This window comes from Homo sapiens, chromosome 7, assembly GCF_000001405.40.
Source record: "Homo sapiens chromosome 7, GRCh38.p14 Primary Assembly".
Lineage (NCBI taxonomy): Eukaryota > Metazoa > Chordata > Mammalia > Primates > Hominidae > Homo > Homo sapiens.
Window position 1 is genome coordinate 150,224,189 of NC_000007.14, and position 26,837 is coordinate 150,251,025.

Genomic DNA, 26,837 nt, shown 5'->3' on the forward strand with positions numbered 1-26,837 from the left:
AGTGGAGGAGATTTTGCAAGAATGTGAATGCCAGGTGGATGGGATTGTTGGAAGCCTTGTCAGGAGCAGCCTTCCACAATCAGCCCTCTGGCCTCCAATGATTTGTGTTTCTCCCCATGTGAAATACACTCTCTTTCTTTCAAGATTGCCAAAAGTCATTCCATTACAGCATCAGCTCAAAGTCTAGAATTCTATCATCAGAAACAGTTTCATGTGTGAAGGAGGCTCCTCTGGTGTACTTCCTGTGTATAGCTTTCCTCCATGTTTAGATATGTAAAAGTTAAGAGATAAGATAGTTTCTCACATGTATTCAACATACAATGGTGGGATGGACATTAGATAACAGATGTAGGCACACCTGTTCCATAAAAAGAGAACTGGAGGACAAAGGAGTTGCTGCTCTAAAGCAATTCTGAAATCCAGCCAGGCAAAGGTTGGGATTTCCTGGCCTGAGGGAGTATTTGTCAAGTTTCTCCACAGTAAAATTACTATTATCCTTTCTCATTTGCATACTGAACTCTTTGTAAGGAGGCGTCTACATGCAGCCTACACTGAAGGAGTGAGGAGTTGTGTTCCACCTCCTTGAGGGCAGAGCGTTTGCATACATTTTTAACATTCTGCTCCACGGGAGACCTGTCTCTTCTCACCCATTCATTTATTTATTATTTAACTATAAAGCATGGGTTTATGAATATTTGTATGATATTTTGGGTTATAATTCAATACTACTCTTATTTATTTTTGCTCACATTATGCCAGCTTTGGCCACTGGGTGATCTTCAGTGGCTCTGTGCACCTTTGGCCACACCCCCATTAGTGTGTGTGTGTGTGTGTGTGTGTGTGTGTGTGTGTGTGTGTTTGCCTGCACGAGCATGCGATTGGAATATTTCCTTTATGGCACTACAAGGTGCCTCAGGCTCACCTTGTACATTTCCTGTCACTAGAATCAGCCACTTCTCCAAGGAGCCCTGGTTATTTTTATTAGACAATGGTATTAGAAACTAATATCTGGGCATTACTAGTGCTCATTGCTACTGTGATACTGTTTCTGAGTCCTCTAGCTGACAGAGAATGGTAATGTATTTGTACATACTAATCCAGGTCATACACAAATATCTATAAATATTTCTATATTTAATGGTGTATGTCTATATTCAGCCAAATATTAATTCATACTAATGTCTACAACTCTAATCCATTGCCACATGAATCATTCCAGCCCTTTTCCCTTACTTATCTGTAAATGCCCACTCCAACAGTGGTAAATCTGGCTCCTGCCTTCCACCAACCATCCAATTCGTTGTTCAGTTCTACTCTATATGTACAGTGGTATCAGAACGTTTAACCTGTAGCCAGTGGGAAACAGTGTTATTAACTAGAATGCAGTGGCAGTGCTGTGTACAGTTTCTTTTGACTGTGTCTTACAGACTCAACTCATTTCCAAAGTTGCTTATGTCAGCACCTTTTCCCCTCCCTCTTCAGTGAGGTTGTGTAATGCATTTTTAATAAAGTTGGTTTTGTCACATTCTGCATTCCATTCTAGGATTCCCTGACCTCCTAAATACGATTTTAAATTTACATACATCAAGATTTACTTTTTATCCTCAGTGTAATGTATCCACATTGTGTCATACAAAATAGTTTCACCACCCTAAAAGTTCTGAGCTTCACCTATTCACTCCCCAACCCCTGAAAATGGTGATTTTTATGATCACTGTTTTTGCCATTTTCAGAATGTCATATAATGGAAATCATACAGTATCAGTCTTTTCAGATGGGCTTCCTTCAGTTAACAACATGCATTTAAGATTCATCCATCTCTTTTCTGGCTTAATAGCTCATTTCCTTTTATTACTAAATAGTATTTCATTCTATGGCTACACCACACTTTCCCTATCCATTCACATATTGTAGAACATCTTGGTTACTTCTAGTTTTTAGTGGTTGTGAATCAGCCTTCTGTAAACTTTTGCATGTAGATTTTTTGTGTGGATGTAAGGTTTCAACTCCTTTGGGTAGATATCTAGGAAAGTGATTGCTGGATCATATGGTGAGAGTATGTTTAGCTTTTTAGGAAACCATTAAACTGCCTTCCAAAGTTGACAGTGTCATTTCGCATTCCCATAAACAATGAGTGATTGCTCCTATTGCTCTGCTTCCTCCCCAGTCGTTGGTATCTCCAGTTTGTTTTTGTATTTTTGCCTTTCTAAATAGTGTGTAATAGTACCTCATTGCTTTTTGTTGTTGTTGTTGTTTGTTTGTTTTGAGATGGAGTTTTGCTCTTGTCGCCTAGACTGGAGTGCAGTGGTACAATCTCAGCTCACTGCAACCTCTGCCTCCTGGGTTCAAGTGATTCTCCTGCCTTAGCCTCCTGAGTAGCTGGGGCTACAGGCACGCACCACCACGTCTGGCTAATTTTTTGTATTTTTAGTAGAGACAGGATTTCACCATGTTGGCCAGGCTGTTCTCAAACTCCTGACCTCAAGTGATCCATCTGCCTTGGCCTCTCAAAGTGCTGGGATTACAGGCGTGAACCACCAGGCCCCGCCTCATTGCCGTTTTAATTTGAAAATCCCTAGTCACCAATGATGTTCAGCAAATCTTCTTATGTTTATTTACCATCTGTGTATCTGCTTTGGTGAGATGTCTGTTCAGATATTTTGTTGATTTTATATTGGAGTTGTTTTCTTATTGTTGAGTTTTAAGAGTTGTTTATTAAATATATATTTTGGGTACAAGTAATTAAGCAAATTTGTATTTTGCAAATATTTTCTGGTCTGTGGCTTATCTTTCAATTCTTCCCCTTGCTTTTATTTAAATTAGCACATTGTGTATATTTATGGGTTAAAATGTGATGTTTTGACCTACATATATATACATTGTAGAAAGATTTAATCAAGCTAATTAACACATTCATCATCTCACCAACTTAACATTGTGTGTGTGTGTTGAGAATGTTAAAAATCTATTCTTTTAGTGATTTTGAAATATGCAACATGTTATTATCAGGTGTGGCCATCATGCAGTGCAATAGATCACTTAACTTTATTTCTCCAGTCTAAGGGAGACTTGGTACCCTTTGATCCATATCTTCTCCTTTCCCATTTCTCTCCTTCATTTTTAGCCCCAGTAACTACCTTTTTTCATTCTGTTTCTATGAGATCAATTTCTTTTAGATTCCACATATAAATGAGATTATACAATATTTGTTTTTTGGTACCTGGCTTATTTCACTTAGCATAATGTCCTCCAGCTCCATCCATGATTCTTTTAAAAGTATCTTTCACAGAGTAGATGTTTTTAATTTTAAAATATTGTACAACGTATGAATTTTTTCTTTCATGGATCATGATTTTGCTGTTCTATCAAAAACTTTATCGCAAAACCCTAGATTTTCTCTTATGTTTACTTCTAGAAGTTTTATCATTTTGTATTTTATAATTAGGGCCCTGATACATTTTCAGTTAATTTTCATGAAAGGTATAAGGTTTGTGTCTGGGTTTTTTTTTTTTGTTTTTTTTTTTTGGTATATGTATGTCCAATTATTCCAGCCCCATTTTTGAAAAGACTTTTTTTTTTCATTGACTTGCCTTTGTTCCTTTGTTAAAGATCAGCAGACTCTGCATAGATTAATTTCTGGGCTCTCAATTCTGTTTCATTGACCTATCTACCTATTCTTTTAAATATATGCTGTCTTGATTATTATAGCTTTATAGTGAGTCTTGAAATTTGGTAATAAAAGGGCTCAACTTTGTTCTTCTTCGGTAGTGTATTGACTATTCTAGGCCAATTCTAGGAAGGTCTTTGTCCTTCCCTTATATTTTAGCTTCTGTTTGTTGATATCTACAAAAGGACTTGCAGATATTTGAATTGTAATTCCAGTAAATCTGTAGACAAAGTCTGGGATAATTGACATCTTAATATTATTGAGTGTTCCCATTCATGAACATGGACTATCATTCTCGATATTGAGCTTTACTTTGATTTCTTTCACCTGAGTTTTATAGTTTTCTGCACATAGTTCCTGTTCACATTTGTCCATATGTATGCCTAGTTATTTTATTTTTGGTGATGCCGTAAGTGGTGTTATGTTATTAATTTCACATCCTAATGTCTTATTTCTGGTACATAGAAAAACAATAGACATTTCCATATTGTGGTAGGGTTAATTATAGCCCCTCAAAAGAAACTCACATACTAATCCTTGGAATCCATTGCTATGTTATCTTATATGACAAAAGGGACTTTCCCAATATAATTACATTAAGAATCTTGAGATAGGGAGATTATTTGGGGTTATCTGGGTGTACCCAATGTAATTACAAGGGTCTACATAAGAGGAAGGCAAAAGAGCAAAATCAGAGCTGCCAATGTCATAAAGCTATGCTGATTATTTGATGATGAAGAGAGGGGCCATGAACCAAGGAATACAGGTGGCCTCTAGAAGTTGGCAAAAGCAGTGGAAAGGAACCTTGCTGACCCTGGCTTTGGTTCAGGCAGACTGTATTTGGGCTTCTGACTTCTGTAACTGTAACAATGAATTCATTCTGTTTTAAAACACTAGTCCTATGGTAGTTTACTACAGCAACTATAAAAAAATTTAAAAATACATAGTAACAATCAAATTATGCAAACATATAATAATACAAAATTTATGTATAATACTATATATAGTAACAATACAAATATATATATTTGTATATATATATAGAGAGAGTGTGTATCCTGTAACTTTGCTATACTACTGTATATATAGTAATGGTACAAATTATACATATAGTAACAATACAAACTATGTATTCATATAATACTATATATACATGACTGTGTATCCTGTAAATTTGTTATACTACAAATTATTTTCAGAATGCCCATTTTGTTGACTTTTTCAAAGTAGAATCTTTGGAACTTTCTTGATAGACAGTCGTGTTATCTGCTTAAAAAAAAGACAGTTTTTATTCTTCCTTCCAATCTGTTATATATTTGTTCATTTTCCTGTTTTATTGCACAAGCTAGAAATTCCTGTATGATGTTGAATAGGAGTGGTGAGAAGAAGCAACTTGTCTTGCTCTTTGTCTTAAAGGGAAAGCATCCAGTGTCTGGCCATTAGCTGTCATGTTAGCTGTAGGTTTTTGTAGATGTTCTTTACCAAGTTGTGGAAGTCCCCCTCTATTCCTAATTTTCTGAAAGTTTTTATCATTAATGGGTGCTGGTTTTTATCAAATGCTTTCTCCACATCTATTGGTATGATGATATATTTTGTTTTCTCTAACTTGTTGATGTAGCGTATTAGAGTGAATCTTTTTTTATTTTTGAGATTGAGTTTCACTCTGTCACCCAGGCTGGAGTGCAGTGGTGAGATCTCAGCTCACTGCAACCTCCGCCTCCCACGTTCAAACAATTCTCCTGACTCAGCCTCCTGAGTAGCTGGGACTACAGGCGTGCACCACGACACACAGCTAATTTTTTTTTTTTTTTTTGTATTTTTAGTAGAGACAGGGTTTCACCATGTTGGCCAGGCTGGTCTCAAACTCCAACCTCAGGTAATCCACCTGCCTCAGGCTCCCAAAGTGCTGGGATAACAGGCGTGAGCCACTATGCCCAGCCTTAGAGTGATTACTTTTTAAATGTTAAACCAGTCATACATTCCTAGAATAAATTCCACTTGCTGCTCTTTCTGTTTTTATTATCTGGAAGATATTATAGAGGATTTGGTTCAGTCTTTTTAAAATACTTGGCAGAATTTTCTAATGAGGCCGGGCATGGTGGCTGATGCCTATAATCCCAGCACTTTGGGAGGCTGAGGCGGGTGGATCACTTGAGGTCAGGAGTTCGAGACCAGCCTGACCAACATGGCAAAACCCGGTCTCTACTAAAAATACAAAAATAAGCCAGGAGTGATGATGGGTGCCTATAATCTCAGCTACTCGGGAGGCTGAGGCAGGAGAATCATTTGAACCTGGGAGGCGGAGCTTGCAGTGAGCTGTGATTGCACCATTGCACTCCAGTCTGGGTCACAGGGCAAGACTCCATCTCAAAAAAAAGAAAGAAAAAAAGAAACAAAAACAAAATTTCTAATGAAACCATTTGGGCCTGCTGTTTTCTTTTTGGAAGGTTATTAGTTATGTTCAGTGTCTTTAATACAAATACACCTGTCAAGATAATCCATTTCTTCTTGTACAAGTTGGTCTATTTCACGGAATTGGTGCATTTCATCTAAGCCAGAGGTCCTCAACCCTTGGGCAATGGACAGGTCCCAATCCATGGCCTGTTAGTAAAAGGGCCACACAGCAGGAGGTGAGTAGTGGGTGAGTGAGCATTACCGCCTGAGCTCCCCCTCCCATCAAATTCTCATAGGAGCGCAAGCCCTATTGTGAACTGCCTGCATGCAAGGGATCTAGGTTGCATGCTCCTTATAAGAACCTAACCAATGCATGATGATCTGAGGTGGAAGAGTTTCATCCCAAAACCTTCCCACCGCACCACCCTCCTGTGCAGGGAAAAATTATCTTCCACAAAACCAGTCCCTAGTGTCAAAAATGCTGGGGACCACTGATCTCAGCCATCAAATTTGTGGGCATGCAGAGTTGTTTCTAGTATTTTTGCATATTTCTTTTTATGTCCATAGCATCAGTAGCTATGACCCTGTTTTCATTTCTGATATTGTCAATTTGTAGTACATTTATTTTTTTCTTGGTTACCTTAACTAGAGATTTATCAATCAATTTTATTGATTTTTTTAAAGAACAGCATTTCATTTCTTTGATATTCTCAATTGTTTTCCTGTTTTAGATATTATCAATTTCTGCTCTAATTTTTTTATGCTTTTCTTCTATAACTTCAGATGATCAATTTTGGATCTTCTTCTCTTATATATTCAGTAATACTATTAATTTCTGTCTAAGCACTGCTTTCATTGCATCCTACAAATTTTGATAAATTGCATTTTCATTTTTCTTTAATTCAAAATATTTTATATTTCTCTTGAGCCTACTTATTTAGATCGTGCGATATTTAGAATTGTGTTATTTAATCTCTGCTATAGGTTAAATGATTGTCGCCTCAAAATCTCATGTTCAAATTTGATCCCAGTGTTGGAGATGGGGCTTCATGGGAGGCATTTGGGTCTTGGAGGTGGATCTCTCCTGAATAGAGTAATGCCCTCCCTTGGTGGGTGGATGAGCACATTCTCACTCCATTGGTTCCCACAAAAGCTGGTTGTTAAATAGAGCCTGACCCCTCCCTCTTCTCTCTCTTGCCTTCCCTCTCACCACGTGATCACTGAACATGCTGGCTGCCCTTCACCTTCTGCCATGAGTGGAAGCTTCCTGAAGGGCTCCAGGAAAATGGTGGCATGATGCATCTCGTATAGCCTATAGAACTGTGAGCCAAATAAACCTCTTTTCTTCATAAATTATCCAGCTTCATGTATTCTTTTATAGCTACACTAAACCAGTTAAGACAATCTCCAAATATTTGGGATTGTCTAGCTACTTTTCTGTTCCCGATTTCTAGTTTAATTCCACTGTGACCTGATAATATATTTCCTATAATTTTTATTGTTCTACATTTGTTCCTGTGTGTTTTATGGCCCAGAATGTGACCTATCTTGCTGTATGTTCTATAGAAGCTTGGGAAGAACATATGTTATGCTGTTTGTAGGTAGTATTTTATTATATAAATGTCAATTATATCATATTGATTGATAGTGTTCCTCAAGTCAACTGTATTCACTGATTTTCTACCTGCTGAGCTATGAATTACTAAAAAAGAAGTTTGAAGTCTCCAACTGCAATAGTGAATTTGTATATTTCTCCCTTTAGTTCCATCAGCTTTTGCATCATTTTTAGGTGTTTTTGCTCTGTTGTTAGGTGAATAAATGTTTAAGATTGTTGTCTTTTTTGAGAATTGATCCCTTTATCGTTATGTAATGCACCTCTTTTCCCTTATAATTTTTCTTGCTCTGCTATCTTCTTTGTTCACAACTAATAAAGTTCTATGCAATTTTAAAAATTAGTGTTAACAAGATTTATATTTCTTAAAACCTTTACTTTTGACCTATGTCTCTATATTTCCAATGAGTTTCCTGTAGATTAAATATAGTTGGATTTTTTTTACCACTATGAACACCTTTGTCTTCAAATTGGCTTCTTTACACCGTTTAGATTTAAAATGACTATTGATATTATTAGGTTAATATCCACCATATTTAAACTGTTTTCTATTTGCTATATTTGTTCTTTATTTTTTACTTTTCCTACTTTTCTGCCTTTTCTGATTTTAGTAGGACATTTTGCACAATTTTATCTTCTTTTTTAGCATATTAATTATACATATTTTAAAAATATTTTAAGGCCAGGCACAGTGACTCATGCCTATAATCCCAGCACTTTGGGAGGCTGAGGCAGGCAGATCACCTGAGGTCAGGAGTTCAAGGCCAGCCTAGCCAACATGGTGAAACCCCATCTCTATAAAAATACAAAAATTAGCCAGGCATGATGGCAGATGCCTGTAATCCCAGCTACATGGGAGGCTGAGGCAGGAGAATCACTTGAACCCAGGAGGAGGAGCTTGCAGTGAGCCATGATCATATCACTGCACTCCAGCCTGGGTGACAGAGTGAGACTGCAACTCAAAAAAAATATAAAAATAAAAATATTTTAATGGTAGCCTGAGTTTCCAACATACATTTTAAGTAATCTAACTCCACCTTTAAATGACACTATGCCACCATCATTGCTGTCATTCACTTCACTAATCATATGATACCATCATCGTATTATTACTTTAAATAGTTATTTTTAGATCAATTAAGAATAAGAAAAGAAAAAAAGATTTTCTTTTACCTTTATTTATTCCTTCTTTGGCACTCTTCCTTTGTTACGCAGATTTGAGTTTCTGAACTTTATCACCTTCCTTTTCCGTGAGGAACTTCTTTTAATATTTTCTTACAGGGAAGGTCTGATGGTGATTATTTCCCTCAGCATTTGTCTGAGGAAGTCTTTATTTCTCAAGTTTGTATTTTTTTTCTTTATTTTAGCATTTAAATACTTCACTCCAGTCTTCTTGCTTCTGTGTTTCTGATGGGAAGTCTAATTTAATTCTTGTCCTGTTTTGCTGTAAGTCAGGTTACTTTTTCTCTGACTCCTTTGAAGATTTTCTTTTTGTCTTTGGTTTTCTGAAGTTTGTGTATAATTGTTTTGGTATTTCTCCTGTTTACTGTTCTCTACTTCTTGACTTGTGATTTGCTGTGGTTAATTTGGGAAAATCCTCTGACAGTGTTACTTCAAATATTTCTTTAGTTTCTTGTTCTTGTTCTTCTCCTTCTGGTATTCCAAATAGATGTATATTATACTTTCGAAATTATTTCTGTTGACTTATCTTCAAGCTTACTCATTCTTTCCTCAAACTTGTTCTGTTGATGAACCTATTGAAGACATTCTTTATTTATGTCAGTGATTTTTATTATTTCTAGCATTTCCTTTTGATTGTTTCCTAGAGTTTCCATCACTCTTCTTACATTACACATCTATTTTTGCATGTTGACTGTTTCCTCCATTAGAGTCTTTAAAATCTAAAACAGTTATTTTAAATTCTCTATCTGATAATTTCCAAATTTGTGTCAAATCTGAGTCTGGTTCTGATGCTTGCTTTGTCTTTCTGACTTGTTTTTTCTTGCTTTTTTTCATACCTTAAAATTTTCCATTAAAACCCATACATAATATATTGAAGAGTAATCAGTGAGGCAAACAGGCCTTTAGTGAGCATTTTTTGTTGTTATTATTAATCTGGCTGAGAATCAAGCTATATATAATGTTTGCTGTAGATGTAGGTAGCGGTGGCTTCAAATTCCTCTAGTATCCTTATTTTGTCTCCACTCTTGACTTTGGGCATCCTTATATACTCCTCCACAGAGAGTCTGTGTTTTCTGGCTCTTTTAGGTGTAATCCACAGTTACATTGGAGCCCTGTTAGTGTGGTGAGAAGGTTGGCATAGGGGAAGTATTCTATACTCTTATGATTACATCACAGTCTTTTAGGGGGTCCATGTCCCTTACAAGCATTTCTTAGCTTTGCTTCTCCCCTTACAAGGAACAGGAAGGATATTGGTGCCCAGAGTGTGAAAAGTGACCTTACCTCAAGTGGGATAAGTCTCTGCTAAAGGTTTTATCCCTCACTGGAGGGTAGGTCTTTGTTATGGAGAATATTCTGGGTATATTTCACAATAACTTCTCTTCCATGCGCCCCACATGACCATGATGGCATTTTCTCAACTCTTTACTGTGAGAGCTTGGTGGGGCTTCTGGAGGTAAAATCCACAACTGTGTGGGATTCCAAGAGTGTGACCCCAGGAGTTTATCACTCTCACGCAACTCCACACTAGCGCTCCGGAAAATCATCAGCATTACCACTGAAGTGCTACCAAGAGTTTGTTTCTAGTGGTTTCTGCACCGGGTAAACAGATCTCAGCTGTGACTCCCCTAATTCATCTATCTTTGCAGATTTCTGGGTGGCTGTTTGCTGTAGGAACTTCATTCTCATTTGGATACACGAATTGTCACTGATTTTCAGTTCACTCAGGTTCTTCTTGTGGTAAGAGTGGAAGCAATGACTTTTAAGAACTTTACACATTGGAGTTAAAGCCAGATGTCTCTTAATGTACCTTTTTTTGACCTTATGCTCTCCTGTTTTATTCTTCCCTCACTTTATGGCTCTTCTATCATGCTATAAGCAGCAAGAGAAAAATAGTGTCTTCCCCACTGCCCAGAAATCTCCTTAGCCATGTAGCCAAGTCTATCAGGTATATCTTCTGTTTTCAGCATAACTGCAGACCACATTAGCACTAGGCTTTTGTCATATCATAATAAACATCTCTCTTCCAATGAGATCACAGGGAGCCATCTCAGAATCAGCCTACTATAACTCCCATCACTATTTTATATGATTAATACAAAGGCCAGTAAATTCAGTGCCATGTGGCCAGCTTTACTAATAAATCATATTTTTGATGGTAAAATCTGTAGCTTACAGATATGATTGTATTCATTAGAGATCCATTTTTCGTCCTGGATAAGCAAGACAACACAATAGATTACACAACGTTAGGCTTGAAGAAACAAAGTACAAGGGAGGTGAGGGGTCCTCAACATTTCTCTTTTCCTCCATCGCTGCCCATTCCCAGACTCTCTCCCACAGCTCACTCTCCTTCTGGACACCTGCGAGTTCTGTCCTTGCTTCTCTGCAATGTAGCTGTTGCTTTCAACACCCCGAAGCATCTTTGCTATGGCTCTTAAGCTGAAACAAACGCAGACCACCCCAAGCCTCATGTGATAGAGGAATCCTCAAAGCTGAAATCTGGACAAGTCTAAACTTTCAACTTCCTTTCCTAACAGGAATAAGGAAATCAGTATATAGAACAAGTTGAATATGACTTAGGATTTACAAAATGTAATGCAGCCTCACGTCGTTGGGTTCATTCGGCTACCAATTTAGCTTGCTTGACAACTACATATGTTGCTTTTAAACAATTTCATTAGGAATGTAAAAACACGCAAGTCAATATCTGAGAAAAGAATGGATATCTGAGAATAGCATTTGGGTTTCTACTAACTTGCTCTGATGAATAAGCTGTAAGTCACTGTTATGCCAACAATTCTGTGAGTTTTTAAATAAAATTTCGGTGACAATTTCATGTTTCTGATAGTAAAATTTTAAGTTCGGTGCTTTTACTATCTTTCAGTAGTCCATTCTTTACACCAACTAAGCAGGCTGCAAGACACTAAAAATGAACTTACCTTTTGTGCATTATATTTTTACTGGTTAAACTTTCTACCATCTTTCAGAAGAGTGGGAAAGTTTAAGTTTAGCTACTTGCTATGCAAACTCATATCCAGCCTTTACAGCAGAGGGAGGCCGAAGCAATAACCAGGGACATTTTTAATGCAACTAAAATGTTGCTGTCTCACATTTAACCCTGTATCTGGGAGAAGCACGAATTGAATTTATTGTAGATCATTCTTTCTCATCAATCTAGAGGCAGGACTGAGAGAAAAGTATCCATGGTAATGAAGGTTTTCCTATGATGAACACCTAACACTTCCACAATTAAGTTAGTATTAGCATTCATCAATATTTTCTGAATGCATTTTGAGCTTTCAATAGAGGTGATGTTTCTGCCCAACACTCATACCAAGTACATAATTGACACCTTGGCATCTAGGGCAATTCTGGAATGCCCTGAACCCAATAATATCATGAACCAATTGCCAGTAACTCTAGATACACACTGCAAAAGCTCTACATTCCTAGGACCTATGATTGATCGTAGTATATTTGTAGGCACATCATGTAAAGTAAGTAAATGCAAGTAAATCCAGTTGAACTTGGAATTTTGGTTGCTTTGGCACTTTCTGCCATGATGAAAGACCAGTGATTACATAACCCCAGGCTAGCTGTGAAATAGTTCAAAATTGCCTTTGGCAAACAATTCCCACCAATCAGAAGACTGTTCTACATATCTTCTTCTGTGGAGACCTATACCATCATACCCACTATCTGCCCCTGGAGTGTACCCCGTGAAAGCTCCGTAGGCTTCCTAGGGCTTATTGGAATGCTAGCTCTGCTGTGTTTTAAAAATTTAATCATCCTGTGCTTTGTTTCCTACCTTCCAGTCTATTAGGTCTTTCCTGTTGATATTCTTTCCTAATTATTTAGCTTTTAGATAGTCTTTTCAATGCATCTCATAAAGAAAGAGAAAAGGGCTATTAAAGCCTTGCAGTGGGCAGTGATAGGAATAAATGTAACTCTTTGGCAGGAGGCTGTCCTAAGGTTTCTGCACTACTTTGAAAAAGTCAACAGCCAGGGGTAGGTGAAGCCCATAGTATTTTTACTGTTAAAACATCTACACATAACTAATCCTGACTGTGCTCTGTCTTTGGAAGATTATTCCAAATGGCATTGATGCTGGAGGAAGAACTGCGGAGAGGGACCATATGGACCTCCATTGACATTGCCACCGTCTTTCCCATGCATTGCAGCAGACTCTGTTGGGGCCCTGCCCATATCCTCTTGGCACTGGCTGTATCTGTGCCCACCAGCCTGACTTTCAATTGCAAGCACCTACGTTGGCTGCCTGAGGGCTTTTGCTGCAGCCTGTCTGGGTGTATGGCAGCCTGGGGGTTTCATGGAATTTTTGTCCCCACCCACAGCCCTAGAGAACTCACCAGTGGGACTTGGCAGATAAATACCCCAGCCCTCAACCCTAAGATAGGATAACTTTGAGGCACATGTCCCACCCTGTCTTTCTGATTTCCCAGGGCCCACACTGGTCACTTGACTAACAGCACACCCTGTATTGGCTTCCCTTACCTTCCATATCTCATAGGGTGGTCACGGTAACGCCCTGGAAGAACTCCAAGTACCTAGAGAGGAACAATGAAGGCCTCTGCTGCTGTGCTTTGGAATCCACGGCAGCATTTGCGTGCAATCACACCTTCCTACTCCTAGCCAATAACGGGAGTATGGCAGGGATACTAGCGCAGGCCTCGCCCTGGCAGGTGTGGGACCTTGCTGGTAGCCAGCTCTGGTTCAAGGACTTCCTGAAGAACTTTTTCATACCCTAGAAGTCACCCAAGCATATTTCCTTCCACTGGGAGCAGACTTAAAGTTTTAATCTGCTAACATCCCAGGCACTCTGTTTTTTTTTCCCACGCAGGTTATTTTCCCTAATCAAGTCCTTTCATGTTTATTCCCAACATGGTGTCTGTTTCTTGAAGAACAAGGACTAATACATTTTAATTCCCACTCCCCGCATAGTGTTCTTGGCCTCACCTTCCCACTGAACTTCTTGAATGTGATAATCCTTGATTTAGAGGTTATTTCTAGGAAGAACCCTGAATCAAGGCATATTATGAGACATACGCTAACAACCATAACTTTAGTTTAACTTTTCACTGCATAAAATTATATAATAATTAGAACTAGAAGGGGCCTCAGATGAGATATAGCTCAGCATACTCATGTTTCATATAAAGAATGAAGAGAAATTAGTTTATCTCTCAGTTGAGATCCAGGCAGCAGTAGGAGATAACTTCGGATAATTATTGTGAGCATAAGTATTGTAGATTGATGACCTACCTATCAAAGCAATCATTCCAAACAATTAATACAAAATTGTTTGAATATGCACCTCTCTTACAGCAGGATTTTTACACCAGTAGGTTGTAAATCCCAGGAGTACAAGAGCTATGAATTTGTAGATTCCTTGCAATAGGTTACAAGAGTCTAGATTCTGGATATGTAAAGTAGTTAATTCACCTATACACAACTATTTTCAAAATGTACTTAGAGGCTACTATGAATAACATTGTTAAGGGAATTAGGATTTTATTAATAAAAATATCTATTTTAATCCAGTATCTAATTTTATCAGCCAGTATGTACCACTATTTCAGCTACTCTCTGGTAAAGTCATGGATTGTTATGACATTTGCAGAGTGGATTTCATACTAGGAAATTTTGGAAAATAAAGATCTGTTCCATTTACCTACTCTAAATAAACCATGCAATTAGGATTAGGTGAATCCTTCCCTAATGTTTTTTTCTTTGACTAATAAAATCACAAATCTTAATTAAGTTGTATTTGTCTGATTATATGGCACTCCTGAAGATATGCATGTGCTTTTTGAATTGATTGTGTAAGTTAATTCGATGTACCAAATGTTATTTCTAAAACTCTATAACATTCATATGACAAAGTCCATTCATTGTCTAGGTCTTACTATATTAATTAAATGTTAAAATTATGCTGATTGAATTCAGCAAACTGACATCAATATTCCACTTGTTTTTTCCTTACTGGTTTGTTTTCATCCACCATCGCTGTATGTCCCTTATATATACTAACCATATATTCCTTCTGACTGCCCCACACACTTTTCTTTCCCTGATTCTGTTTCAGGCACGCTGGCTGCTTCCCACATTTGGAGCAACCTCCTTCATCCATTCTGGCAAACACTCTTTTCTTTGAAAACTCAAATGTATTCAAACACCTCTTTCTTTGAAACTCAGATGCGTTCTCAGTTCCTCAGTGAGACCTGCACACTTTAGCACAGACAGCTCTACTGACTCGAATGCACTAATTCCTCAGGAATTTGTGTCAAAGTATGATATTGATGGTCAATATACACACCATCACACCTATACAAAATATAGGTCAAATGTGACTCTTCAAATTTAGAGCCTGTTTCTCTGAAGGCAATTTTCCACTCCACACATTGAAGCACTAAAATATTTCAATGCAGAAACATAAAAGTTGCTCGCTCTCTCTCTCTCTCTCTCTCTCTCTCTCTCTCTATATATATATATATATATATAATTTATTATAGTTTGATATATAAATATATAAAGAAAAATAAATGAGTTATTACAGTTTGAAAAAAGTCATTGAGGCTCTTTTTATTGACATGGGTGGAACTGGCTAGACTCAGTCTCCTTAATGATTCTTCAATTACATTCTACAGCTTCATTAGTAGAACCTTATGAATTTAGCAAAAATCTGGGCTGGTTTACTTTCTGTTTTTTGAAACAGGGTCTCACTCTGTCACCCAGATTGGAGTGCAGTGGTGTGATCCCAGCTCAATGCAACCTCCATTTCCCAGGCTCAAGTGATCCTCCCACCTCAGCCTCCTGAGTAGCTGAGACCACAGGCAGGCACCACCACACCTGGTTAATTTTTTTTGAATTTTTATTAGAGATGGGTTTTTGCCATGTTGGCCAGGCTGGTCTCAAACTCCTAAGCTCAGGTGATCCACCCACCTCAGCCTCCCAAAGTGTTGGGATTATAGGCATGAGCCACCATGCCTGGCCTGGGCAAGATTACTTTTGTATTCTCTATGAGGATGAGTTTGACTAAGCAAATCAATAATGTAAACAAAACTGAACTACTTAAGAGAAAAAATTATTTTCACACATTTAGCATATGAGTTATCTTTCTTGTCATGTTAAACATACATGACATGCAAAATACCATTTTAAAGTGTAGAATTCAGTAGTGTTAAGTGCACTCACAATGTTGTGTAAACATCACTGCTATCTTGTTCCCGAGCTTTTTAATGATACCAAATGGAAACCTCGTCTTTCTAATTGGAAATATCCTCATTTGAAGTCTACAAGAATGCTCATTACAGCATTGCTTGTAATGCTGATGAGAAGTTGGAAGTTGGAAACAACCTAAATATTCTTTACCGGGACAGCATTGGGACAAATACCTAATGCTTGTAGGGCTTAAAACCTAGATGACAGGTTGATGGGTGCAGCAAACCACCACGGCACATGTATACCTATGTAACAAACCTACACATTCTGCACATGTATCCTACAACTTTTTTTAAAAAAAGAAAAAATTATCTATAGAGGTGGGAAAAGAGTGGAAATGTGATATGGGTATAAAAAAATTAACAGATAAACAACAACAAAAAAGCCTTATTGGCTATCACTATTTCTACTTAACGTGATGCTAGATGTCCTAGCCAGGACACTAAAGCAAGCAAAATAATTAAAAGACAAAAAGATATAAACGAAGTAACACTGTTGTTATTTGCAGAAGATATGACATGAAGAAAACACTACGGGGTTTACAAATAAAGGACCAGATCTAATAATTGATGATGAACTGAGCATCATCAATACACAAAAATCAATTTTTATCTATACGCTAGCAATGAAAAGTTGAAAATAAAAAATTTAAAAGTACCACATACAAAAGCATCAAAATAGCATAAAACTATTAGTAATAAATTTAGTAAAAGTTGTGCAAATCTGCTACATGAAAAATAGCAAAATATTACTGAGAGAAATTAAAGAAAGCTAATTAAATGGAGAGATACAGTTTATGAATCAGAAAACTCAATACTGTATGATATTCATTATTTGCCATATAAATTGTCATATAAATTGATACCTGAACATAAAATTTATCTGGAAATGCAAAGAACATATAAAATACAAAATGATTTTGAAAAAGTATAAAGTTTAAGGACTTATACTATCTGATTCCAAGATTTACTATAAAGCCATAGGAATAAAGGCCCTGTGGTATTGGTGTAGGAAGAGAAAAAGAGATTGATGGGGTAAATTTGACTCACACATATATCATCAACTCATTTTCAAGAGATTTGTCGTCATCAATTGATTTTCAACAGAGACACGAGAGCTAGTCCATGAGGAAAGGAAAGCATATAACAAATTTGCTGGGACAACTCGATATCCACATGAAGAAAACACTAAGCCTTCATTCATAAAATAGATCATATACAAAATTTCATTAGAAATAGATCATGGGCTTAAACAAAACCATAAAATTTCTAGAAGAATAACTTTGCAAACATGAGACCGGCAAAAAATTTAAAACAGAAGACAGTGGTATTAACTATAAAAGAAAAAATGCAAAATTGAACTTCATCAAACTTAAAATAGTCTGCTCTTCAAGAAGACAGTATTGAAAAAATGGAAAGGCTAGGTACAGATTGCAACCAGATATTCCCAATACATATGTCTGCCCAAGATTTATAAAGAAGTCTTATAACTAAATAATCAAAAGACAAGCTATCAATAGAAAATGGTCAGAGGACTCAGCAGACACTTTACAAATGAAAATATATGAATGGCAAATGAGCACATAAGACAATGATCAACATTATTAGCCATCAGAACAATGAGAATTAAAACTGTATTAAGATACCACTTTGTGGCCAGGCGCGGTGGCTCACACCTGTAATCCCAGCACTTTGGGAGGCCGAAGCGGGCGGATCACAAGGTCAGGAGTTCAAAACCAGCCTGACCAACATGGTGAAACCCAGTCTCTATTAAAAATACAAAAATTAGCCTGGTGTGGTGGCAAGCACCTGTAATCCCAGCTACTCAGGAGGCTGAGGCAGGAGAATCGCTTGACCCTGGGAGGTGGAGGCTGCAGTGAGACGAGATCGCACCACTGCACTCCAGCCTGGGCGACACAGTGAGAACTTGTCTCAAAAAAAAAAAAATGTGAGGGTGGGGGAAGAATATATTCATAAATGGAAGTACTACTCATTGACTGAAAAACAGAGGGCAACAGAGGACACCACTGTATTGTTCCATTTGCATGAACTGTACAATCTACAGTAGAAAAAGCAGGTCAGTCACTGCTGAGCATGGGGCAGGCCAGACTGTCTGCAAAGGGGCACAGGGAGCTTTTCGGAGTTGGGAAAATCTACATCTTGATCAAGGTAGGCTACTCAGGCCTAAACATGTATAAAATTGCATCAAAACCTATAACTAAAATATGTGCATTCTATTGTATGTAAATTACACTACAATAAAATGAATTAGAAATGAGGTAGAACTCCAGCTACTGGCATCGAATGATACCTATAATAGTTTGAGTGGTTAAGTCCAAGACACAGAAAAAGATGTGTAGTATGATCTGATGTATTTAGAAAAGGAGTATGTATGTGTGTTGTGGATACACATTTGTGAAAATTCCAAGATACTTTTTGCCAGTCTTTTCCTAAGCCTAAAGAGTGATTTCCTTTTGTGGAGGGAAGGAGTATCAGCAGTGGTGGTGGTAGGGAGGGGATTTGGAATTTGAGAAATCTGTGAAGAGGAAATACCTTTTTGTTTTGTTTTCATTCCAAATACTGCTTATTGCCTCCCTCTGCCTTTAGTTTTTTCAGCAAGAATTTATTTGATCTTTTAGAAAATAATAAAAGAAAAGCTGTAAATATGTTCTTATCCTCTTTCTGGGTCCTGTGCAACTTGACAGTGACACTTGCATTACAAATTATTTTTAAAATTCTTAATAATAGTTAACACTTACTGTATGAGAGTTATTACATTTACTGTGTGCTCTGTACCATGCTAAGCCCTTTGTGTGTGTTATCTTGATTACTTCTCACAATAGCTTTATGATCAAGTTTCGTGATTAGTAAACGTGGTATCAGAATTCACTCATATGGCCTATTCTAAAGCCTATTGTGAATTGATTGCACTATACTTTCTAAGTTTACAGGGTTTGTTAGTAGCAAAGCCAGATTTCAAATCTCAAACTTCTGATTTGGTTCAGAATTCTTTTTCATTTCTTGGTGGTAATCTCCAAGGTAAAAAATATTTTAAAAGGCATTTAAAATGATTTTATCAAATTTTAGGATAACGGTAGTACACAGCCACAAAAACTAAGAGTAATCTAGTGTATAGTTTTCTAAATATTATTTTGGGTGGAACTTATGGTTAATTCTCATTTGTTATGGAGCAAAGATTGAAGTTACTTTTAAATATCATACACATACTTTTATAATCAGGTGTAAAACTTTGTGTATATACCATTGTCCCTTGGTATCCATGGGGAATTAGTTCCGGGACCCTCCTGCAGATACCGAAATCCACAAATGCTCAAGTTCCTTCTATAAAGTGGTGTAGTATTCATGTATAACCTACACAATCCTCCCATATACTTTAAATCATCATAGATTACCTATAATATATAATACAATGTAAATGCTATGGAAATAGTTGTTATGCCGGATTGTTTAGGGAAATACAAAAAAAGTCTGTACACATTCAGTATAGATACAACCATACTTGTTTTTTAAAATATTGTTTGATCTGTGGTTGTTTGAATCCACGAATTCAGAACCCATGGATACACAGGCCAGACTATACTTACTATTGCACTGGGACTTTCAAAGACTGTTATCTGATAAAATGTTTATTTAGAGACAGGCATATCATACATTGACACCAGAACCTGGTGCCTACCTCTGAGTGTAGGACAAATGTTTAGTACTGAGTGTTAGTTTAGTACTCTCATTGTATTCTTGTAGGTGATGTAGTCATTCAGTATTCAGTATAGTCTTAGAATATTGAATATTCAATATAGTCTTAGAATATTGAATATTCAATATAGTCTTAGAATATTGAATATTCAATATAGTCTTAGAATATTGAATATTCAATATAGTCTTAGAATATTGAATATTCAATATAGTCTTAGAATATTGAATATTCAATATAGTCTTAGAATATTGAATATTCAATATAGTCTTAGAATATTGAATATTCAATATAGTCTTAGAATATTGAATATTCAATATAGTCTTAGAATATTGAATATTCAATATTCAATATAGTCTTAGAAATATTAGAATGTAATACCCCATTCATTGATAGATCTCTCTAGGTTTGTGGAACTGTAAAATAACTTAGTTGTCATTCAGTCTGTGTGTGTATCCTTTGTTGAACATTTGATTCATTCAATTTTTTAAATTTAAGAATAATTGATTAGTTCCTGTTAGTCAATGTTCTTGCAAAAATACTCAACTTCTTCAAAGGAGGAGAAATAATGAAAATAAAAGGATATGGAAGGTGCATCACTCTGGAGCTAATGCCATTTGGGAGCCTTTTCCACACCTCAGCCTGAATATATGGATGGAAGGAGCAGTTGCCCAAACCTACAGAGAGCCAGAGAGAGAGGACGGCCTGAGAGGAGTTATGCAGTGCCTCTCCTGCCTCTGCTCTTCCCAGCCTCTGCTCTTCCCAGCCTCTGATCTCCCACCAGGACCTCATGGTGGTGGAAACCATGCAGAAAGCGAAGGGAAGAGAACCTGCTGATGCAGTACATACAGGTCTGGCTCCAGATACCCAAACCAGGGTAGAGAAGACTGCAGGCTGGATCAGGAGAGACATTTGGAAAACATCCAGCACAGTCTCCAAGATTTAAGAGGAGAATATTGATGGAGCTATATGAAGGACAGACACACAGATAGTACATGACTTCCCTTGAGAAATGGCAAGATGTGGTTATATTAAAACTGGATTTCTTCATGTAAGCATCAGTAATAACCGAGTAGCAACTGCCCTCTTTCAACAATGAGTGAAGTCTCCACTCACTCTGCATCTTACCCTTCCCACTTCATTCAGATTTCCTCTGTACACATTTGGGTTCCAGCTCATTCTCTTACTTATAAAAGGAATTCATTATCAACCAGAGGTTGCATAGAAGATAATTTGCCCAAGCTACCTAGTTACTGGTGGATACAGGTTGAGAACCTAGGAGCATTAGCCATGATAGGTTATCTTACGCTATGGTTGCAAATCATTGCTGAAATATCTGTGGTTTATTATGACAAAGATTTGTATTTTAATTTACTCAAAATCTCCTGTGGGTCACATGGTGACTCAGAGACATGGCCTGTCTCCACTTTGCTGCTCTGTCATCTCAATGTGTGGCTTCCAGGTTAGCACAGCTGGAGAACAGAAGGCCGGAGGGCCACTCAGGGGATTTTGCTCCACCATGGAGGGGATTTTCATCTCTAGTCAGAGTCCCCAGGCTGGAATTACTCACATGGCTCTATCCAACTGCAGGAAAGTTGGGAATTGTAATTTCTGTGTGCCCAAGAAGGAAACAAGCAGCTATTGGTGAGTGTGAGCAATTGCTCCCACAATAAGAATCTTTCATTTTGGTCCGGGCTTTTTTCAGCTTAATAATGCCACTTTTTGTTCTACCTTAGCCGGTGTGTTGACTGTCATATTTGCAATACAGACCTTCAGAGCTATTCGCACAGGAGATAGCAAGAGGAATGCCTGCTGGGGGGCTCAGTGAAGATCCCACAGAGGAAAAGTGACTTGGATTTTGTTTTGAGGCTTGTGTAGGATTTAAAAATGTAAGAAGAATGGTTCAAGTTATTTCAAACTGTCCACATTGACTCAGTAAAGGTAAGTGGGAAGAATTCTCACAGCCTGTCTTGGTAAACCAGGCAAGTCAGTCTTACTCCTAGTAAAACAGTTATGCAGAGAAAAATCAGGTTGGATCTTTGAATGCTTGACTGTGGATCTTGGACTTCACCTCACAGTTAATAGGCAGGAATTGGTTCAATAGCCAGTAATTCTTAGCAGGAGGAAAGATTGTGTCATTTGGATTCTATAGAACCCATTTCACTCTCCATTTGTACTTGCAGATCCAGCTTAACACAATTTTCTTATGTTCTGAAAGTTCAAGCACAAGCACTTGGGGGATAGTTGGCTGTGTGTTTCTGCCTTGGGTTTTCTAAGACTAACCACCCAGTGAATTCTACAAAACCCTGTTAAATGATGTTCCTAGCCATGGAGGACCAGGGAAAGCCAAAGGCAGAACCGTCTCTGTGAGTAATGATACAGCTGCAGACCCTGATGGGGTGCAGTGCATCATTAATAGAACAGGGCATAAGGATGCATGCTGTCAGAGCTACCCCGTCTATTTTTGTGTGACACGGGGGACTTGTAGCCACTGCATTGATTTGCAATGGTGAACTGTCATTTCCAATAACAACTGTCCATGATAATATTTAAAATAATATTGAAAATTCACTGAATATAATATTTTTAAAGGATGTCATCTTTTAAAAAATATATGTGGATTTTAAAGACAAGTAGATGAGTAGAACACCAACGATTATTGTTAAATTATCCTAAATTTACCTGGGATTGCAATAAAGTTAATGTTCCCTAGAAATTGTGAATGGTTGAATTAAAGCATAATAATTGAATGCAAATACCACAAAATTTTTGCTTTTCCACTTTGGCTTTTTGTTTTGTTTTGTTTTGTATTTTTTGAGACTGAGTTTCACTCTTGCTGCCCAGGCTGGAGTACAATGGCGTGATCTCGGCTCATCGCAACCTCCGCCTCCTGTGTTCAAGCAATTCTCCCGCCTCCACTTCTTGAGTAGCTGGGGTTACAGGTATGCACCACCACACCCGGTTAATTTTTTTTGTATTTTTAGTAAAGACGGGGTTTCTCCATGTTGGTCAGGCTGGTCTCGAACTCCCGACCTCAGATGATCTGCCCGCCTCGGCCTCCCAAAGTGCTGGGATTACAGGCGTGAGCCACCGCACCCTGCAACTTTGGCATTGCTAATAACCTATAGGGTTGTCATTAAGTTTTAAAACAGCAAGTAATTTTGTTTATTGCCACCCTGGTTAATCTCCTTCCACTCCTGAGAAAAACAAACAAACAGTGACCTCAATAACCATTTATTTCTGGCACAGCTTTCCCTCTCTCTCTCCAGGTGAAGTTTGTGCAAGCGTGAGTTAAGAGATTTGATGAAATTATTCACCCAGATGTAAGTGTCGGTATGTTATTAATACTTTCTCCAAGAACATGCACATCTTCACCTGGGCTTGCTGCTGCCCCACGTAGTAAGGATGCAACAGTTTGTGGTTCTCTAGAGAGCTTTGCCACCAGTTTTGCAGGGAGAGGGCTTTTAGTGTCTTAGCCATAGTGACATGTAAACAATTGATATGAGAGTTTTTCTTGAGAATGAATTTTTATACAAAGAAAAGGGAGAGGAAGAGAACATTGCTGGCCTTGGAAATCTGAAAAACAGACACAAAACAGGAAAGGAAAGAAAGCAGATTATTTAGTTTACCGTCTTCATAATTTAAGGTTAATGTAGTTTTGATATGCCCCCACCAAATCTCGTGTTGAACTGTAATCTCCACTCTTGGAGGCGGGGCCTGGTGGGGGTGTTTATATCATGGGAGTGCATTCCTCATGGATGGCGTGGGCCATCTCTTGGGTGATGAGTGAGCTCTGAGTTCACAAGAGATCTGGTCATGTAGAAGTGTGTGGCAACTGCCTCCCACTCTTTTGTTCTTGCTTTTGCCATGTGAAGTGCCTGCTCCCACTTCACCTTCCTCTGTGAGTCAAAGCTCCCTGAGCCCTCCCCAGAAGCTGGGCACCATGCTGGTACAGCCTTCAGGCTTGTGAGCCAATTGAACCTCTTTTCTTTAAAAATTACCCCATCTCAGGATCTGGGGCAAAGGTACTCCAACAATAGACGATGCTGTTGGCAATACCTGCTCGATTCCAGCCAAACTACAATGGAACCTGCCCCTGCCAGGGTTTCAGCAGGGCCAAGCTGGAAGCTGATTTTCCACCCTAGCTCCTGTCCCAGGGAAGCAGGCCATGGGCTCCAGTTTCTCTGCGGTGTCAGCAGGATGCAGAGTAAGCCCACTTCCACCAGGCATCGATGATACAGAATGAGGCAACTCAAGGTAGAGTGGTCCGCGTTCTGCTCTCCCTTCCCTCCCGTACTGGCCCTGGGCCCAAAGGAGACTGAACAGATACACAGCCCTGGTGCTACATCTCAACAGAGAAGCTGGCTATTAAAAAAAAAAAAGAGTAGGCCGGGTGCGGTGGCTCGCACCTGTAATCCCAACACTTTGGGAGGCCGAGGTGGGCAGATCACGAGATCAGGAGATCGAGAACATCCTGGCCAACATGGTGAAACCCCATCTCTACTAAAAATACAAAAATGAGCTGGGTGTGGTGGCGCATGTTTGCAATCCCAGCTACTCAGGAGGCTGTGGCAGGAGAATCGATTGAACCCAGGAGGCAGAGGTTGCAGTGAGCTGAGATCGCACCACTGCACTCCAGCCTGGAGATAGAGCTAGACTCCGTCTCAAAAAAAAAAAAAGTAAATAGGATTCACAATCTTATCAAAATGTCCAGAATACAATAAAAAACCACTTATCATAGCAAGAACCAGAAAAATCACAAATGAATGAAGAGTCGATTGAGACTCCAACATAAAGATGACTCAGGTGCTGGGATTACCTGCAAAGAATTTTAGAATAATTGTCATAAAAATGCTTCAATAAGCAATTATGGGTTCTCTTGAAACAAATGAAAAAAATAGAAAATTTCAGCAAAAGTAGAGCCTAGAATTAAAAATGAAAATCATGAGAATACCTCAAATAAAAGGCTACGCATGGGCTCAATATATCATCTCAATGAAATGGAGGTGACAGAGGATGGAATCCGTGACCTTGAGGATAGCTCAGTGGAATTTGTTCCATCTGAAAAACAGAGAAAACAGTTATAGGGCAGCAGAGTCTCATGGGTCAATAACAAAAGAGCTCACATTTGTATACTTGGAGTCCAAGATAAAACAGAAAAATGTTTAAAGCAGCCAGGGAGAAATGAAATGTTGCTTAAAGGAGAACACCAATTCAAATGGTAGCAGATTTTTCATCTGAAACCATGGAGACCAGAAATGAATGAAGTGCTTTTCCAAGTGCTGAAAGAAAATAATAGTCACCTGCCACTTCTATACCCACAGAAATTATCCTTCCAGAATGAAAGGGAAATAAAGAGGTTTTCTAGACAAAAGAAAACAGGAGAAATTTGTTGCATAACAAACCTACCCTTACAGAAGGGCTGACGGAAGCATTTTTTTATTTTTGTTTTTTATTTATTTTATTATTATTGTTTTTGAGATGGAGTCTCATTCTGTCACCCAGGCTGGAGTGCAGTGGCACGATCTGGGCTCACTGCAACCTGTGGCTCCTGGGTTCAAGCCATTCTCCTGTCTCAGCCTCCCAAGTAGCTGGGATTACAGGCGCCGGACACAACACCCAGCTAATTTTCTGTGTTTTTAGTAGAGATGGGGTTTCGCCATGTTGGCCAGGCTCGTCTCGAACTCCTGACCTCAGGTGATCCGCCTGCCTCGGCCTCCCATTGTGCTGGGATTACAGGTGTGAGCCACTGTGCCTGGCCATACCTCATGAGTTTTTAAAAGCGATATTTGATGTTTGAAGCAAAAGTTACTATGCCATCTGATGGGATGCTCAATGCATGTAGAAGAAATACCTGAGACATGGATATTTAAAAGATGGGAAGTGGAAAGACACCTAAAGGAAGGGTGATCCTCCACTTTACTCCACGTGATAAGGCCTCACTTCCGGGGACTGTGATGGGTTAGGGTACATGGTGGATCCATTGACACCGAACTCGCAGTGCTCTGCATGTCGCATGTGCAATGGGGCCAGGGAGCTGCAGGGCTGCCCTGGAGCGGATGAGGGGTGGCTGGAGCTTCGCAGAGGAAATGGGGTAGATTATGTGGGGCTGTTGGTTACATTGAGGCCACTGTAAAGTGATTGGATGTTTTTCTAAATGTAGGTATTTAGTTATTAGAATAAATGAGCAAGAAATGACAGAATCTGACTTTTTTTTTTTTTTTTTTTGAGACGGAGTCTCGCTCTGTCGCCCAGGCTGGAGTGCAGTGGCGCGATCTCGGCTCACTGCAAGCTCTGCCTCCCGGGTTCACGCCACTCTCCTGCCTCAGCCTCCCGAGTAGCTGGGACCACAGGCGCCCGCCACTACACCCGGCTAATTTTTTGTATTTTTACTAGAGACGGGGTTTCACCGTGTTAGCCAGGATGGTCTTGACCTCCTGACCTCGTGATCCGCCCGCCTCGGCCTCCCAAAGTGCTGGGATTACAGGCTTGAGCCACTGCGCCCGGCCGACTTGAATTTTTAAAATATCACCTTAGCTACTGTGTTGAGATTTCAGTGTGAGGGTTAAGGGCAGGTGCAGTACGACGGATTAGGAGGCTATTTCAGGAATCCAGACAAGGCCATTGCGAGTGGAGGGGAGAAGCCAGTGGGTTCTGGGGGATGGTAGTTTCAATACAGAGCCAAAGGAAATCTTGATGGTGGAAAAGAGGGATCTTTAGGATGGCTCCCGGAAGTTTGGCTTCAGTGGCCACTAATTGAGGTGAAGAAGACTGCGGGAGAGCAAGTGGGGTGGAAGATCAGAAGTCTGGCTAGGGTTGAGATGCCGATTAAGCATCCAAGCAGCTGGATATGTAAACCTAGATTTCGGAAGAGAGCTACAGACTTGGGATAAAAAATTGGATGTAGTTACTATGTGGAGAGTGCTTAAAAGGATGGGATTGGATGCGGTCACCTAGGGAGCAGGTGTCAACTTTATTCATGGAACCATACAAATGTAAATATGGACGGAATATCTATAACATCAGCAAACA

At 38.7% G+C, this 26,837-nt stretch overlaps 1 protein-coding gene across 15 annotated transcripts in view; it reads right to left on the reverse strand.

The window, feature by feature from the left end:
* Window positions 1-26,837, reverse strand: part of ACTR3C (actin related protein 3C) — a 442,186-nt gene that overhangs the window by 342,829 nt on the left and 72,520 nt on the right. For 2 of the 15 annotated variants that reach the window (NM_001164458.2, NM_001164459.2), the window contains exons 7-8: window positions 24,760-24,866; window positions 23,024-23,381 (exon numbers count right to left, since the gene is read on the reverse strand). The exons of 5 other annotated variants lie outside the window; for them this stretch is intronic. In NM_001164458.2, the coding sequence (NP_001157930.1) occupies window positions 24,798-24,866 (69 nt within the window). In that variant the 3' untranslated portion in view covers window positions 23,024-23,381; window positions 24,760-24,797. 8 more of the 15 variants (XR_007060141.1, XR_007060142.1, XM_011516508.3 and 5 more) reach the window with 8 other exon arrangements.